This window comes from Homo sapiens, chromosome 12 (genome assembly GCF_000001405.40).
Source record: "Homo sapiens chromosome 12, GRCh38.p14 Primary Assembly".
Taxonomy (NCBI): domain Eukaryota; kingdom Metazoa; phylum Chordata; class Mammalia; order Primates; family Hominidae; genus Homo; species Homo sapiens.
Genome location: NC_000012.12, coordinates 35,227,674 through 35,244,546, shown reverse-complemented (window position 1 = coordinate 35,244,546; position 16,873 = coordinate 35,227,674). Strand labels below are relative to the sequence as shown.

General features: G+C 38.5%; 1 annotated feature.

The window, feature by feature from the left end:
- Window positions 1–16,873: part of a centromere (Linear centromere model derived predominantly from reads generated in PMID: 17803354. This region does not represent an actual centromere sequence, as long-range ordering of repeats and unmapped WGS contigs is not provided by the model. For details of model production, see http://arxiv.org/abs/1307.0035.) that runs on past both edges of the window.

Below are 16,873 nucleotides of genomic sequence, written 5' to 3'. Positions count from 1 at the left end.
TGGAAACTCCACAAAAAGAGTGTTTCAAATCTGCTCTTTCTGAAGGAAGGTTCATCTCTGTGAGTTGAATACACACACCACAAATAAGTTACTGAGAATTCTTCTGTGTAACATTATATGAGGAAATCCCGTTTCCAACGAAGGCCTCAAAGAGGTCCAAATATCCACTTGCAGACTTTACAAAGACAGTGTCTCCAAACTCCTCCATCAAAAGAAAGGTTATACTCTGTGAATTGAACGCACACATCACAAAGTAGTTTCTGAGAATGATTCTGTCTAGTTTTTATACGAAGATATTTCCTTTTCTACATTTGGCCTAAAAGCGCTTGAAATCTCCACCTGCAAATATCACAAAAAGAGGGTTTCACATCTGCTCTGTCTAAAGGACAGTTCACCTCTGTGAGTTGAATAGAGGCAACACAAAGAACTTACTCAGTATTCTTCTTTCTAGCGTTCTATGAAGAAATCCCGTTTCCAACGAAGGCCTCAAAGAGGTCAAATATCTGCTTGCAGACTTTACAGACAGAGTGTTTCCAAACTACTCTATGAAAAGAAAGCTTAAACTCCTTGAGTTGAACGCACACATCACAAAGTAGTTTCTGAGAATGATTCTGTCTAGTTTTTATACGAAGATGTTTCCTTTTCTACATTTGGTCTCAAAGCGATTGAAATCTCCAACTGGAAACTGCACAAATAGGCTGTTTCAAATCTGCTCTGTCTAAAGGAAGGTTCAACTCTGTGAGTTGAATACACACACCACAAATAAGTTACTGAGAATTCTTCTTTCGAACATTACTTGAAGAAATCCCGTTTCCAACGAAGGCCTCAAAGAGGTCCAAATATCCACTTGCAGACATTACAAACAGAGTGTTTCCAAACTACTCTATGAAAAGAAAGCTTAAACTCCTTGAGTTGAACGCACACATCACAAAGTAGTTTCTGAGAATGATTCTGTCTAGTTTTTATACGAAGATGTTTCCTTTTCTACATTTGGTCTCAAAGCGATTGAAATCTCCAACTGGAAACTGCACAAATAGGGTGTTTCAAATCTGCTCTGTCTAAAGGAAGGTTCAACTCTGTGAGTTGAATACACACACCACAAATAAGTTACTGAGAATTCTTCTGTCGAACATTACTTGAAGAAATCCCGTTTCCAACGAAGGCCTCAAAGAGGTCCAAATATCCACTTGCAGACATTACAAACAGAGTGTTTCCAAACTGCTCCATCAAAAGAAAGGTTAAGCTCTGTGAGCTGAACACACACATCAAAAAGAAGTTTCTGTGAATGATTCTGTCTAGATTTTATAAGAAGATGTTTCCTTTTCTACCGTAGGCCTCAAAGCGCTTGAAATCTCCAGCTGCAAATTCCACAAAAAGGGTGTTTAACATCTGCTCTTCTAAAGGAAAGTTCAACTCTATGAGTTGAATACACACAGCACAAAGAAGTTACTGAGACTTCTCCTATCAAACATTATATGAAGAAATCCCGTTTCCAACGAAGGCCTCAAAGAGGTCCAAATATCTGCTTGCAGACTTTACAGACAGAGTATTTCCAAACTGCTCCATCAAAAGAAAGGTTAAACTCCTTGAGTTGAACACACACATCACAAAGTAGTTTCTGTGAATGATTCTGTCTAGTTTTTATACGAAGATGTTTCCTTTTCTACCTTTGGTCTCAAAGCGATTGAAATCTCCACATGGAAACTCCACAAAAAGAGTGTTTCAAATCTGCTCTTTCTGAAGGAAGGTTCATCTCTGTGAGTTGAATACACACACCACAAATAAGTTACTGAGAATTCTTCTGTGTAACATTATATGAGGAAATCCCGTTTCCAACGAAGGCCTCAAAGAGATCCAAATATCCACTTGCAGACTTTACAAAGACAGTGTCTCCCAACTCCTCCATCAAAAGAAAGGTTATACTCTGTGAATTGAACGCACACATCACAAAGTAGTTTCTGAGAATGATTCTGTCTAGTTTTTATACGAAGATATTTCCTTTTCTACATTTGGCCTAAAAGCGCTTGAAATCTCCACCTGCAAATATCACAAAAAGAGGGTTTCACATCTGCTCTGTCTAAAGGACAGTTCACCTCTGTGAGTTGAATAGAGGCAACACAAAGAACTTACTCAGTATTCTTCTTTCTAGCGTTCTATGAAGAAATCCCGTTTCCAACGAAGGCCCCAAAGAGGTCCAGATATCTGCTTGCAGACTTTACAGACAGAGTGTTTCCAAACTACTCTATGAAAAGAAAGCTTAAACTCCTTGAGTTAAACGCACACATCACAAAGTAGTTTCTGAGAATGATTCTGTCTAGTTTTTATACGAAGATGTTTCCTTTTCTACATTTGGTCTCAAAGCGATTGAAATCTCCAACTGGAAACTGCACAAATAGGGTGTTTCAAATCTGCTCTGTCTAAAGGAAGGTTCAACTCTGTGAGTTGAATACACACACCACAAATAAGTTACTGAGAATACTTCTGTCGAACATTACTTGAAGAAATCCCGTTTCCAAAGAAGGCCTCAAAGAGGTCCAAATATCCACTTGCAGACATTACAAACAGAGTGTTTCCAAACTGCTCCATCAAAAGAAAGGTTAAACTCTGTGAGCTGAACACACACATCAAAAAGAAGTTTCTGTGAATGATTCTGTCTAGATTTTATAAGAAGATGTTTCCTTTTCTACCGTAGGCCTCAAAGCGCTTGAAATCTCCAGCTGCAAATTCCACAAAAAGGGTGTTTAACATCTGCTCTTCTAAAGGAAAGTTCAACTCTATGAGTTGAATACACACAGCACAAAGAAGTTACTGAGACTTCTCCTATCAAACATTATATGAAGAAATCCCGTTTCCAACGAAGGCCTCAAAGAGGTCCAAATATCTGCTTGCAGACTTTACAGACAGAGTGTTTCCAAACTGCTCCATCAAAAGAAAGGTTAAACTCCTTGAGTTGAACACACACATCACAAAGTAGTTTCTGTGAATGATTCTGTCTAGTTGTTATACGAAGATGTTTCCTTTTCTACCTTTGGTCTCAAAGCGATTGAAATCTCCACATGGAAACTCCACAAAAAGAGTGTTTCAAATCTGCTCTTTCTGAAGGAAGTTTCATCTCTGTGAGTTGAATACACACACCACAAATAAGTTACTGAGAATTCTTCTGTGTAACATTATATGAGGAAATCCCGTTTCCAACGAAGGCCTCAAAGAGGTCCAAATATCCACTTGCAGACTTTACAAAGACAGTGTCTCCAAACTCCTCCATCAAAAGAAAGGTTATACTCTGTGAATTGAACGCACACATCACAAAGTAGTTTCTGAGAATGATTCTGTCTAGTTTTTATACGAAGATGTTTCCTTTTCTTCATTTGGCCTAAAAGCGCTTGAAATCTCCACCTGCAAATATCACAAAAAGAGGGTTTCACATCTGCTCTGTCTAAAGGACAGTTCACCTCTGTGAGTTGAATAGAGGCAACACAAAGAACTTACTCAGTATTCTTCTTTCTAGCGTTCTATGAAGAAATCCCGTTTCCAACGAAGGCCCCAAAGAGGTCCAAATATCTGCTTGCAGACTTTACAGACAGAGTGTTTCCAAACTACTCTATGAAAAGAAAGCTTAAACTCCTTGAGTTGAACGCACACATCACAAAGTAGTTTCTGAGAATGATTCTGTCTAGTTTTTATACGAAGATGTTTCCTTTTCTACATTTGGTCTCAAAGCGATTGAAATCTCCAACTGGAAACTGCACAAATAGGGTGTTTCAAATCTGCTCTGTCTAAAGGAAGGTTCAACTCTGTGAGTTGAATACACACACCACAAATAAGTTACTGAGAATTCTTCTGTCGAACATTACTTGATGAAATCCCGTTTCCAACGAAGGCCTCAAAGAGGTCCAAATATCCACTTGCAGACATTACAAACAGAGTGTTTCCAAACTGCTCCATCAAAAGAAAGGTTAAACTCTGTGAGCTGAACACACACATCGAAAAGAAGTTTCTGTGAATGATTCTGTCTAGATTTTATAAGAAGATGTTTCCTTTTCTACCGTAGGCCTCAAAGCGCTTGAAATCTCCAGCTGCAAATTCCACAAAAAGGGTGTTTAACATCTGCTCTTCTAAAGGAAAGTTCAACTCTATGAGTTGAATACACACAGCACAAAGAAGTTACTGAGACTTCTCCTATCAAACATTATATGAAGAAATCCCGTTTCCAACGAAGGCCTCAAAGAGGTCCAAATATCTGCTTGCAGACTTAACAGACAGAGTTTTTCCAAACTGCTCCATCAAAAGAAAGGTTAAACTCCTTGAGTTGAACACACACATCACAAAGTAGTTTCTGTGAATGATTCTGTCTAGTTTTTATACGAAGATGTTTCCTTTTCTACCTTTGGTCTCAAAGCGATTGAAATCTCCACATGGAAACTCCACAAAAAGAGTGTTTCAAATCTGCTCTTTCTGAAGGAAGGTTCAACTCTGTGAGTTGAATACACACACCACAAATAAGTTACTGAGAATTCTTCTGTGTAACATTATATGAGGAAATCCCGTTTCCAACGAAGGCCTCAAAGAGGTCCAAATATCCACTTGCAGACTTTACAAAGACAGTGTCTCCAAACTCCTCCATCAAAAGAAAGGTTATACTCTGTGAATTGAACGCATACATCACAAAGTAGTTTCTGAGAATGATTCTGTCTAGTTTTTATACGAAGATATTTCCTTTTCTACATTTGGCCTAAAAGCGCTTGAAATCTCCACCTGCAAATATCACAAAAAGAGGGTTTCACATCTGCTCTGTCTAAAGGACAGTTCACCTCTGTGAGTTGAATAGAGGCAACACAAAGAACTTACTCAGTATTCTTCTTTCTAGCGTTCTATGAAGAAATCCGGTTTCCAACGAAGACCCCAATGAGGTCCAAATATCTGCTTGCAGACTTTACAGACAGAGTGTTTCCAAACTACTCTATGAAAAGAAAGCTTAAACTCCTTGAGTTGAACGCACACATCACAAAGTAGTTTCTGAGAATGATTCTGTCTAGTTTTTATACGAAGATGTTTCCTTTTCTACATTTGGTCTCAAAGCGATTGAAATCTCCAACTGGAAACTGCACAAATAGGGTGTTTCAAATCTGCTCTGTCTAAAGGAAGGTTCAACTCTTTGAGTTGAATACACACACCACAAATAAGTTACTGAGAATTCTTCTGTCGAACATTACTTGAAGAAATCCCGTTTCCAACGAAGGCCTCAAAGAGGTCCAAATATCCACTTGCAGACATTACAAACAGAGTGTTTCCAAACTGCTCCATCAAAAGAAAGGTTAAACTCTGTGAGCTGAACACACACATCGAAAAGAAGTTTCTGTGAATGATTCTGTCTAGATTTTATAAGAAGATGTTTCCTTTTCTACCGTAGGCCTCAAAGCGCTTGAAATCTCCAGCTGCAAATTCCACAAAAAGGGTGTTTGACATCTGCTCTTCTAAAGGAAAGTTCAACTCTATGAGTTGAATACACACAGCACAAAGAAGTTACTGAGACTTCTCCTATCAAACATTATATGAAGAAATCCCGTTTCCAACGAAGGCCTCAAAGAGGTCCAAATATCTGCTTGCAGACTTTACAGACAGAGTGTTTCCAAACTGCTCCATCAAAAGAAAGGTTAAACTCCTTGAGTTGAACACACACATCACAAAGTAGTTTCTGTGAATGATTCTGTCTAGTTTTTATACGAAGATGTTTCCTTTTCTACCTTTGCCCTCAAAGCGATTGAAATCTCCACATGGAAACTCCACAAAAAGAGTGTTTCAAATCTGCTCTTTCTGAAGGAAGGTTCAACTCTGTGAGTTGAATACACACACCACAAATAAGTTACTGAGAATTCTTCTGTGTAACATTATATGAGGAAATGCCGTTTCCAACGAAGGCCTCAAAGAGGTCCAAATATCCACTAGCAGACTTTAAAAAGACAGTGTCTCCAAACTGCTCCATCAAAAGAAAGGTTATACTCTGTGAATTGAACGCACACATCACAAAGTAGTTTCTGAGAATGATTCTGTCTAGTTTTTATACGAAGATATTTCCTTTTCTACATTTGGCCGAAAAGCGCTTGAAATCTCCACCTGCAAATATCACAAAAAGAGGGTTTCACATCTGCTCTGTCTAAAGGACAGTTCACCTCTGTGAGTTGAATAGAGGCAACACAAAGAACTTACTCAGTATTCTTCTTTCTAGCGTTATATGATGAAATGCCGTTTCCAACAAAGGCCTCAAAGAGGTCCAAATATCTGCTTGCAGACTTTACAGACAGAGTGTTTCCAAACTACTCTATGAAAAGAAAGCTTAAACTTCTTGAGTTGAACGCACACATCACAAAGTAGTTTCTGATAATGATCCTGTCTTGTTTTTATACAAATGTATTTCCGTTTCTATGGCCTCAAAGCAATTGAAATCTCCAACTGTAAACTGCACAAATAGGGTGTTTCAAATCTGTTCTGTCTAAAGGAAGGCTCAACTCTGTGAGTTGAATACACACAACACAAATAAGTTACTGAGAATTCTTCTGTCGAACATTACATGAAGAAATCCCGTTTCCAACGAACGCCTCAAAGAGGTCCAAATATCCACTTGCAGACACTACAAACAGTGTGTTTCCAAACTGCTCCATCAAAACAAAGGTTAAACTCTGTGAGCTGAACACACACATCAAAAAGAAGTTTCTGTGAATGATTGTGTCTAGATTTTATAAGAAGATGTTTCCTTTTCTACCGTATGCCTCAAAGCGCTTGAAATCTCCAGCTGCAAATTCCACAAAAAGGGTGTTTAACATCTGCTCTTCTAAAGGAAAGTTCAACTCTATGAGTTGAATACACACAGCACAAAGAAGTTACTGAGACTTCTCCTATCAAACATTATATGAAGAAATCCCGTTTCCAACGAAGGCCTCAAAGAGGTCCAAATATCTGCTTGCAGACTTTACAGACAGAGTGTTTCCAAACTGCTCCATCAAAAGAAAGGTTAAACTCCTTGAGTTGAACACACACATCACAAAGTAGTTTCTGTGAATGATTCTGTCTAGTTTTTATACGAAGATGTTTCCTTTTCTACCTTTGGTCTCAAAGCTATTGAAATCTCCACATGGAAACTCCACAAAAAGAGTGTTTCAAATCTGCTCTCTCTGAAGGAAGGTTCAACTCTGTGAGTTGAATACACACACCACAAATAAGTTACTGATAATTCTTCTGTGTAACATTATATGAGGAAATCCCGTTTCCAACGAAGGCCTCAAAGAGGTCCAAATATCCACTTGCAGACTTTACAAAGACAGTGTCTCCAAACTCCTCCATCAAAAGAAAGGTTATACTCTGGGAATTGAACGCACACATCAAAAAGTAGTTTCTGAGAATGATTCTGTCCAGTTTTTATACGAAGATATTTCCTTTTCTACATTTGGCCTAAAAGCGCTTGAAATCTCCACCTGCAAATATCACAAAAAGAGGGTTTCACATCTGCTCTGTCTAAAGGGCAGTTCACCTCTGTGAGTTGAATAGAGGCAACACAAAGAACTTAGTCAGTATTCTTCTTTCTAGCGTTATATGAAGAAATCCCGTTTCCAACGAAGGCCTCAAAGAGGTCCAAATATCTGCTTGCAGACTTTACAGACAGAGTGTTTCCAAACTACTCTATGAAAAGAAAGCTTAAACTCCTTGAGTTGAACGCACACATCACAAATTAGTTTCTGAGAATGATTCTGTCTAGTTTTTATACGAAGATGTTTCCTTTTCTACCTTTGGTCTCAAAGCGATTGAAATCTCCACATGGAAACTCCACAAAAAGAGTGTTTCAAATCTGCTCTTTCTGAAGGAAGGTTCACCTCTGTGAGTTGAATAAACACACCACAAATAAGTTACTGAGAATTCTTCTGTGTAACATTATATGAGGAAATCCCGTTTCCAACGAAGGCCTCAAAGAGGTCCAAATATCCACTTGCAGACTTTACAAAGACAGTGTCTCCAAACTCCTCCATCAAAAGAAAGGTTATACTCTGTGAATTGAACGCACACATCACAAAGTAGTTTCTGAGAATGATTCTGTCTAGTTTTTATACGAAGATATTTCCTTTTCTACATTTGGCCTAAAAGTGCTTGAAATCTCCACCTGCAAATATCACAAAAAGAGGGTTTCACATCTGCTCTGTCTAAAGGACAGTTCACCTCTGTGAGTTGAATAGAGGCAACACAAAGAACTTACTCAGTATTCTTCTTTCTAGCGTTCTATGAAGAAATCCCGTTTCCAACGAAGGCCTCAAAGAGGTCAAATATCTGCTTGCAGACTTTACAGACAGAGTGTTTCCAAACTACTCTATGAAAAGAAAGCTTAAACTCCTTGAGTTGAACGCACACATCACAAAGTAGTTTCTGAGAATGATTCTGTCTAGTTTTTATACGAAGATGTTTCCCTTTCTACATTTGGTCTCAAAGCGATTGAAATCTCCAACTGGAAACTGCACAAATAGGCTGTTTCAAATCTGCTCTGTCTAAAGGAAGGTTCAACTCTGTGAGTTGAATACACACACCACAAATAAGTTACTGAGAATTCTTCTGTCGAACATTACTTGAAGAAATCCCGTTTCCAAAGAAGGCCTCAAAGAGGTCCAAATATCCACTTGCAGACATTACAAACAGAGTGTTTCCAAACTGCTCCATGAAAAGAAAGGTTAAACTCTGTGAGCTGAACACACACATCAAAAAGAAGTTTCTGTGAATGATTCTGTCTAGATTTTATAAGAAGATGTTTCCTTTTCTACCGTTGGCCTCAAAGCGCTTGAAATCTCCAGCTGCAAATTCCACAAAAAGGGTGTTTAACATATGCTCTTCTAAAGGAAAGTTCAACTCAATGAGTTGAATACACACAGCACAAAGAAGTTACTGAGACTTCTCCTATCAAACATCATATGAAGAAATCCCGTTTCCAACGAAGGCCTCAAAGAGGTCCAAATATCTGCTTGCAGACTTTACAAAGACAGTGTCTCCAAACTCCTCCATCAAAAGAAAGGTTAAACTCCTTGAGTTGAACACACACATCACAAAGTAGTTTCTGTGAATGATTCTGTCTAGTTTTTATACGAAGATGTTTCCTTTTCTACCTTTGGTCTCAAAGCGATTGAAATCTCCACATGGAAACTCCACAAAAAGAGTGTTTCAAATCTGCTCTTTCTGAAGGAAGGTTCAACTCTGTGAGTTGAATACACACACCACAAATAAGTTACTGAGAATTCTTCTGTGTAACATTATATGAGGAAATCCCGTTTCCAACGAAGGCCTCAAAGAGGTCCAAATATCCACTTGCAGACTTTACAAAGACAGTGTCTCCAAACTCGTCCATCAAAAGAAAGGTTATACTCCGTGAATTGAACGCACACATCACAAAGTAGTTTCTGAGAATGATTCTGTCTAGTTTTTATACGAAGATATTTCCTTTTCTACATTTGGCCTAAAAGCGCTTGAAATCTCCACCTGCAAATATCCCAAAAAGAGGGTTTCACATCTGCTCTGTCTAAAGGACAGTTCACCTCTGTGAGTTGAATAGAGGCAACACAAAGAACTTACTCAGTATTCTTCTTTCTGGCGTTCTATGAAGAAATCCCGTTTCCAACGAAGGCCACAAAGAGGTCCAAATATCTGCCTGCAGACTTTACAGACAGAATGTTTCCAAACTACTCTATGAAAAGAAAGCTTAAACTCCTTGAGTTGAACGCACACATCACAAAGTAGTTTCTGAGAATGATTCTGTCTAATTTTTATACGAAGATGTTTCCTTTTCTACATTTGGTCTCAAAGCGATTGAAATCTCCAACTGGAAACTGCACAAATAGGGTGTTTGAAATCTGCTCTGTCTAAAGGAAGGTTCAACTCTGTGAGTTGAATACACACAAAACAAATAAGGTACTGAGAATTCTTCTGTCGAACATTACATGAAGAAATCCCGTTTCCAACGAAGGCCTCAAAGAGGTCCAAATATCCACTTGGAGACATTACAAACAGTGTGTTTCCAAACTGCTCCATCAAAAGAAAGGTTAAACTCTGTGAGCTGAACACACACATCAAAAAGAAGTTTCTGTGAATGATTCTGTCTAGATTTTATAAGAAGATGTTTCCTTTTCTACCGTAGGCCTCAAAGCGCTTGAAATCTCCAGCTGCAAATTCCACAAAAAGGGTGTTTAACATCTGCTCTTCTAAAGGAAAGTTCAACTCTATGAGTTGAATACACACAGCACAAAGAAGTTACTGAGACTTCTCCTATCAAACATTATATGAAGAAATCCCGTTTCCAACGAAGGCCTCAAAGAGGTCCAAATATCTGCTTGCAGACTTTACAGACAGAGTTTTTCCAAACTGCTCCATCAAAAGAAAGGTTAAACTCCTTGAGTTGAACACACACATCACAAAGTAGTTTCTGTGAATGATTCTGTCTAGTTTTCATACGAAGATGTTTCCTTTTCTACCTTTGGTCTCAAAGCGATTGAAATCTCCACATGGAAACTCCACAAAAAGAGTGTTTCAAATCTGCTCTTTCTGAAGGAAGGTTCAACTCTGTGAGTTGAATACACACAGCACAAATAAGTTACTGAGAATTCTTCTGTGTAACATTATATGAGGAAATCCCGTTTCCAACGAAGGCCTCAAAGAGGTCCAAATATCCACTTGCAGACTTTACAAAGACAGTGTCTCCAAACTCCTCCATCAAAAGAAAGGTTATACTCTGTGAATTGAACGCACACATCACAAAGTAGTTTCTGAGAATGATTCTGTCTAGTTTTTATACGAAGATATTTCGTTTTCTACATTTGGCCTAAAAGCGCTTGAAATCTCCACCTGCAAATATCACAAAAAGAGGGTTTCACATCTGCTCTGTCTAAAGGACAGTTCACCTCTGTGAGTTGTATAGAGGCAACAGAAAGAACTTACTCAGTATTATTCTTTCTAGCGTTCTATGAAGAAATCTCTTTTCCAACGAAGGCCTCAAAGAGGTCCAAATATCTGCTTGCAGACTTTACAGACAGAGTGTTTCCAAACTACTCTATGAAAAGAAAGCTTAAACTCCTTGAGTTGAACGCACAGATCGCAAAGTAGTTTCTGAGAATGATTCTGTCTTGTTTTTATACGAAGATATTTCCGTTTCTATGATTGGCCTCAAAGCGATTGAAATCTCCAACTGGAAGCTGCACAAATAGGGTATTTCAAATCTGCTCTGTCTAAAGGAAGGTTCAACTCTGTGAGTTGAATACACACACTACAGGTAAGTTACTGAGAATTCTTCTGTCGACCATTACTTGATGAAATCCCGTTTCCAACGAAGGCCTCAAAGAGGTCCAAATATCCACTTGCAGACATTACAAACAGAGTGTTTCCAAACTGCTCCATCAAAAGAAAGGTTAAACACTGTGAGCTGAACACACACATCGAAAAGAAGTTTCTGTGAATGATTCTGTCTAGATTTTAGAAGAAGATGTTTCCTTTTCTACCGTAGGCCTCAAAGCGCTTGAAATCTCCAGCTGCAAATTCCACAGAAAGGGTGTTTAACATCTGCTCTTCTAAAGGAAAATTTAACTCTATGAGTTGAATACACACAGCACAAAGAAGTTACTGAGACTTCTCCTATCAAACATTATATGAAGAAATCCCGTTTCCAAAGAAGGCCCCAAAGCAGTCCAAATATCCACTTGCAGACGTGAAAAACAGAGTGTTTCCAAACTGCCATATCAAAAGAAAGGTTAAACTCTGTGAGCTGAACACACACATCACAAAGTAGTTTCTGTGAATGATTCTGTCTAGTTTTTATACGAAGATGTTTCCTTTTCTACCTTTGGTCTCAAAGCGATGGATATCTCCACATGGAAACTCCACAAAATGAGTGTTTCAAATCTGCTCTTTCTGAAGGAAGGTTCAACTCTGTGAGTTGAATACACACACCACAAATAAGTTGCTGAGAATTCTTCTGTGTAACATTATATGAGGAAATCCCGTTTCCAACGAAGGCCTCAAAGAGGTCCAAATATCCACTTGCAGACTTTACAAAGACAGTGTCTCCAAACTCCTCCATCAAAGAAAGGTTATACTCTGTGAATTGAACGCACACATCACAAAGTAGTTTCTGAGAATGATTCTGTCTAGTTTTTATACGAAGATATTTCCTTTTCTACATTTGGCCTAAAAGCGCTTGAAATCTCCACCTGCAAATATCACAAAAAGAGGGTTTCACATCTGCTCTGTCTAAAGGACAGTTCAGCTCTGTGAGTTGAATAGAGGCAACACAAAGAACTTACTCAGTATTCTTCTTTCTAGCGTTCTATGAAGAAATCCCGTTTCCAACGAAGGCCCCAAAGAGGTCCAAATATCTGCTTGCAGACTTAACAGACAGAGTGTTTCCAAACTACTCTATGAAAAGAAAGCTTAAACTCCTTGAGTTGAACGCACACATCACAAAGTAGTTTCTGAGAATGATTCTGTCTAGTTTTTATACGAAGATGTTTCCTTTTCTACATTTGGTCTCAAAGCGATTGAAATCTCCAACTGGAAACTGCACAAATAGGGTGTTTCAAATCTGCTCTGTCTAAAGGAAGGTTCAACTCTGTGAGTTGAATACACACACCACAAATAAGTTACTGAGAATTCTTCTGTCGAACATTACTTGAAGAAATCCCGTTTCCAAAGAAGGCCTCAAAGAGGTCCAAATATCCACTTGCAGACATTACAAACAGAGTGTTTCCAAACTGCTCCATCAAAAGAAAGGTTAAACTCTGTGAGCTGAACACACACATCAAAAAGAAGTTTCTGTGAATGATTCTGTCTAGATTTTATAAGAAGATGTTTCCTTTTCTACCGTAGGCCTCAAAGCGCTTGAAATCTCCAGCTGCAAATTCCACAAAAAGGGTGTTTAACATCTGCTCTTCTAAAGGAAAGTTCAACTCTATGAGTTGAATACACACAGCACAAAGAAGTTACTGAGACTTCTCCTATCTAACATTATATGAAGAAATCCCGTTTCCAACGAAGGCCTCAAAGAGGTCCAAATATCTGCTTGCAGACTTTACAGACAGAGTGTTTCCAAACTGCTCCATCAAAAGAATGGTTAAACTCCTTGAGTTGAACACACACATCACAAAGTAGTTTCTGTGAATGATTCTGTCTAGTTGTTATACGAAGATGTTTCCTTTTCTACCTTTGGTCTCAAAGCGATTGAAATCTCCACATGGAAACTCCACAAAAAGAGTGTTTCAAATCTGCTCTTTCTGAAGGAAGGTTCATCTCTGTGAGTTGAATATACACACCACAAATAAGTTACTGAGAATTCTTCTGTGTAACATTATATGAGGAAATCCCGTTTCCAACGAAGGCCTCAAAGAGGTCCAAATATCCACTTGCAGACTTTACAAAGACAGTGTCTCCAAACTCCTCCATCAAAAGAAAGGTTATACTCTGTGAATTGAACGCACACATCACAAAGTAGTTTCTGACAATGATTCTGTCTAGTTTTTATACGAAGATATTTCCTTTTCTACATTTGGCCTAAAAGCGCTTGAAATCTCCACCTGCAAATATCACAAAAAGAGGGTTTCACATCTGCTCTGTCTAAAGGACAGTTCACCTCTGTGAGTTGAATAGAGGCAACACAAAGAACTTACTCAGTATTCTTCTTTCTAGCGTTCTATGAAGAAATCCCGTTTCCAACGAAGGCCTCAAAGAGTTCCAAATATCTGCTTGCAGACTTTACAGACAGAGTGTTTCCAAACTACTCTATGAAAAGAAAGCTTAAACTCCTTGAGTTGAACGCACACATCACAAAGTAGTTTCTGAGAATGATTCTGTCTAGTTTTTATACGAAGATGTTTCCTTTTCTACATTTGGTCTCAAAGCGATTGAAATCTCCAACTGGAAACTGCACAAATAGGCTGTTTCAAATCTGCTCTGTCTAAAGGAAGGTTCAGCTCTGTGTGTTGAATACACACACCACAAATAAGTTACTGAGAATTCTTCTGTCGAACATTACAGGAAGAAATCCCGTTTCCAACGAAGGCCTCAAAGAGGTCCAAATATCCACTTGCGGACATTACAAACAGTGTGTTTCCCAACTGCTCCATCAAAAGAAAGGTTAAACTCTGTGAGCTGAACACACACATCAAAAAGAAGTTTCTGTGAATGATTCTGTCTAGATTTTATAAGAAGATGTTTCCTTTTCTACCGTAGGCCTCAAAGCGCTTGAAATCTCCAGCTGCAAATTCCACAAAAAGGGTGTTTAACATCTGCTCTTCTAAAGGAAAGTTCAACTCTATGAGTTGAATACACACAGCACAAAGAAGTTACTGAGACTTCTCCTATCAAACATTATATGAAGAAATCCCGTTTCCAACGAAGGCCTCAAAGAGGTCCAAATATCTACTTGCAGACTTTACAGACAGAGTGTTTCCAAACTGCTCCATCAAAAGAAAGGTTAAACTCCTTGAGTTGAACACACACATCACAAAGTAGTTTCTGTGAATGATTCTGTCTAGTTTTTATACGAAGATGTTTCCTTTTCTACCTTTGGTCTCAAAGCGATTGAAATCTCCACATGGAAACTCCACAAAAAGAGTGTTTCAAATCTGCTCTTTCTGAAGGAAGGTTCAACTCTGTGAGTTGAATACACACACCACAAATAAGTTACTGAGAATTCTTCCTATCAAACATTATATGAAGAAATCCCGTTTCCAACGAAGGCCTCAAAGAGGTCCAAATATCCACTTGCAGACATTACAAAGACAGTGTCTCCAAACTCCTCCATCAAAAGAAAGGTTATACTCTGTGAATTGAACGCACACATCACAAAATAGTTTCTGAGAATGATTCTGTCTAGTTTTTATACGAAGATATTTCCTTTTCTACATTTGGCCTAAAAGCGCTTGAAATCTCCACCTGCAAATATCACAAAAAGAGGGTTTCACATCTGCTCTGTCTAAAGGACAGTTCACCTCTGTGAGTTGAATAGAGGCAACACAAAGAACTTACTCAGTATTCTTCTTTCTAGCGTTCTATGAAGAAATCCCGTTTCCAACGAAGGCCTCAAAGAGGTCAAATATCTGCTTGCAGACTTTACAGACAGAGTGTTTCCAAACTACTCTATGAAAAGAAAGCTTAAACTCCTTGAGTTGAACGCACACATCACAAAGTAGTTTCTGAGAATGATTCTGTCTAGTTTTTATACGAAGATGTTTCCTTTTCTACATTTGGTCTCAAAGCGATTGAAATCTCCAACTGGAAACTGCACAAATAGGCTGTTTCAAATCTGCTCTGTCTAAAGGAAGGTTCAGCTCTGTGAGTTGAATACACACACCACAAATAAGTTACTGAGAATTCTTCTGTCGAACATTACAGGAAGAAATCCCGTTTCCAACGAAGGCCTCAAAGAGGTCCAAATATCCACTTGCGGACATTACAAACAGTGTGTTTCCCAACTGCTCCATCAAAAGAAAGGTTAAACTCTGTGAGCTGAACACACACATCAAAAAGAAGTTTCTGTGAATGATTCTGTCTAGATTTTATAAGAAGATGTTTCCTTTTCTACCGTAGGCCTCAAAGCGCTTGAAATCTCCAGCTGCAAATTCCACAAAAAGGGTGTTTAACATCTGCTCTTCTAAAGGAAAGTTCAACTCTATGAGTTGAATACACACAGCACAAAGAAGTTACTGAGACTTCTCCTATCAAACATTATATGAAGAAATCCCGTTTCCAACGAAGGCCTCAAAGAGGTCCAAATGTCTGCTTGCAGACTTTACAGACAGAGTGTTTCCAAACTGCTCCATCAAAAGAAAGGTTAAACTCCTTGAGTTGAACACACACATCACAAAGTAGTTTCTGTGAATGATTCTGTCTAGTTTTTATACGAAGATGTTTCCTTTTCTACCTTTGGTCTCAAAGCGATTGAAATCTCCACATGGAAACTCCACAAAAAGAGTGTTTCAAATCTGCTCTTTCTGAAGGAAGGTTCAACTCTGTGAGTTGAATACACACACCACAAATGAGTTACTGAGAATTCTTCTGTGTAACATTATATGAGGAAATCCCGTTTCCAACGAAGGCCTCAAAGAGGTCCAAATATCCACTTGCAGACTTTACAAAGACAGTGTCTCCAAACTCCTCCATCAAAAGAAAGGTTATACTCTGTGAATTGAACGCACACATCACAAAGTAGTTTCTGAGAATGATTCTGTCTAGTTTTTACACGAAGATATTTCCTTTTCTACATTTGGCCTAAAAGCGCTTGAAATCTCCACCTGCAAATATCACAAAAAGAGGGTTTCACATCTGCTCTGTCTAAAGGACAGTTCACCTCTGTGAGTTGAATAGAGGCAACACAAAGAACTTACTCAGTATTCTTCTTTCTAGCGCTCTATGAAGAAATCCCGTTTCCAACGAATGCCTCAAAGAGGTCCAAATATCTGCTTGCAGACTTCAGAGACAGAGTGTTTCCAAAGTACTCTATGAAAAGAAAGCTTAAACTCCTTGAGTTGAACGCACACATCACAAAGTAGTTTCTGAGAATGATTCTGTCTAGTTTTTATACGAAGATGTTTCCTTTTCTACATTTGGTCTCAAAGCGATTGAAATCTCCAACTGGAAACTGCACAAATAGGGTGTTTCAAATCTGCTCTTTCTAAAGGAAGGTTCAACTCTGTGAGTTGAATACACACACCACAAATAAGTTACTGAGAATTCTTCTGTCGAACATTACATGAAGAAATCCCGTTTCCAACGAAGGCCTCAAAGAGGTCCAAATATCCACTTGCAGACATTACAAACAGTGTGTTTCCAAACTGCTCCATCAAAAGAAAGGTTAAACTCTGTG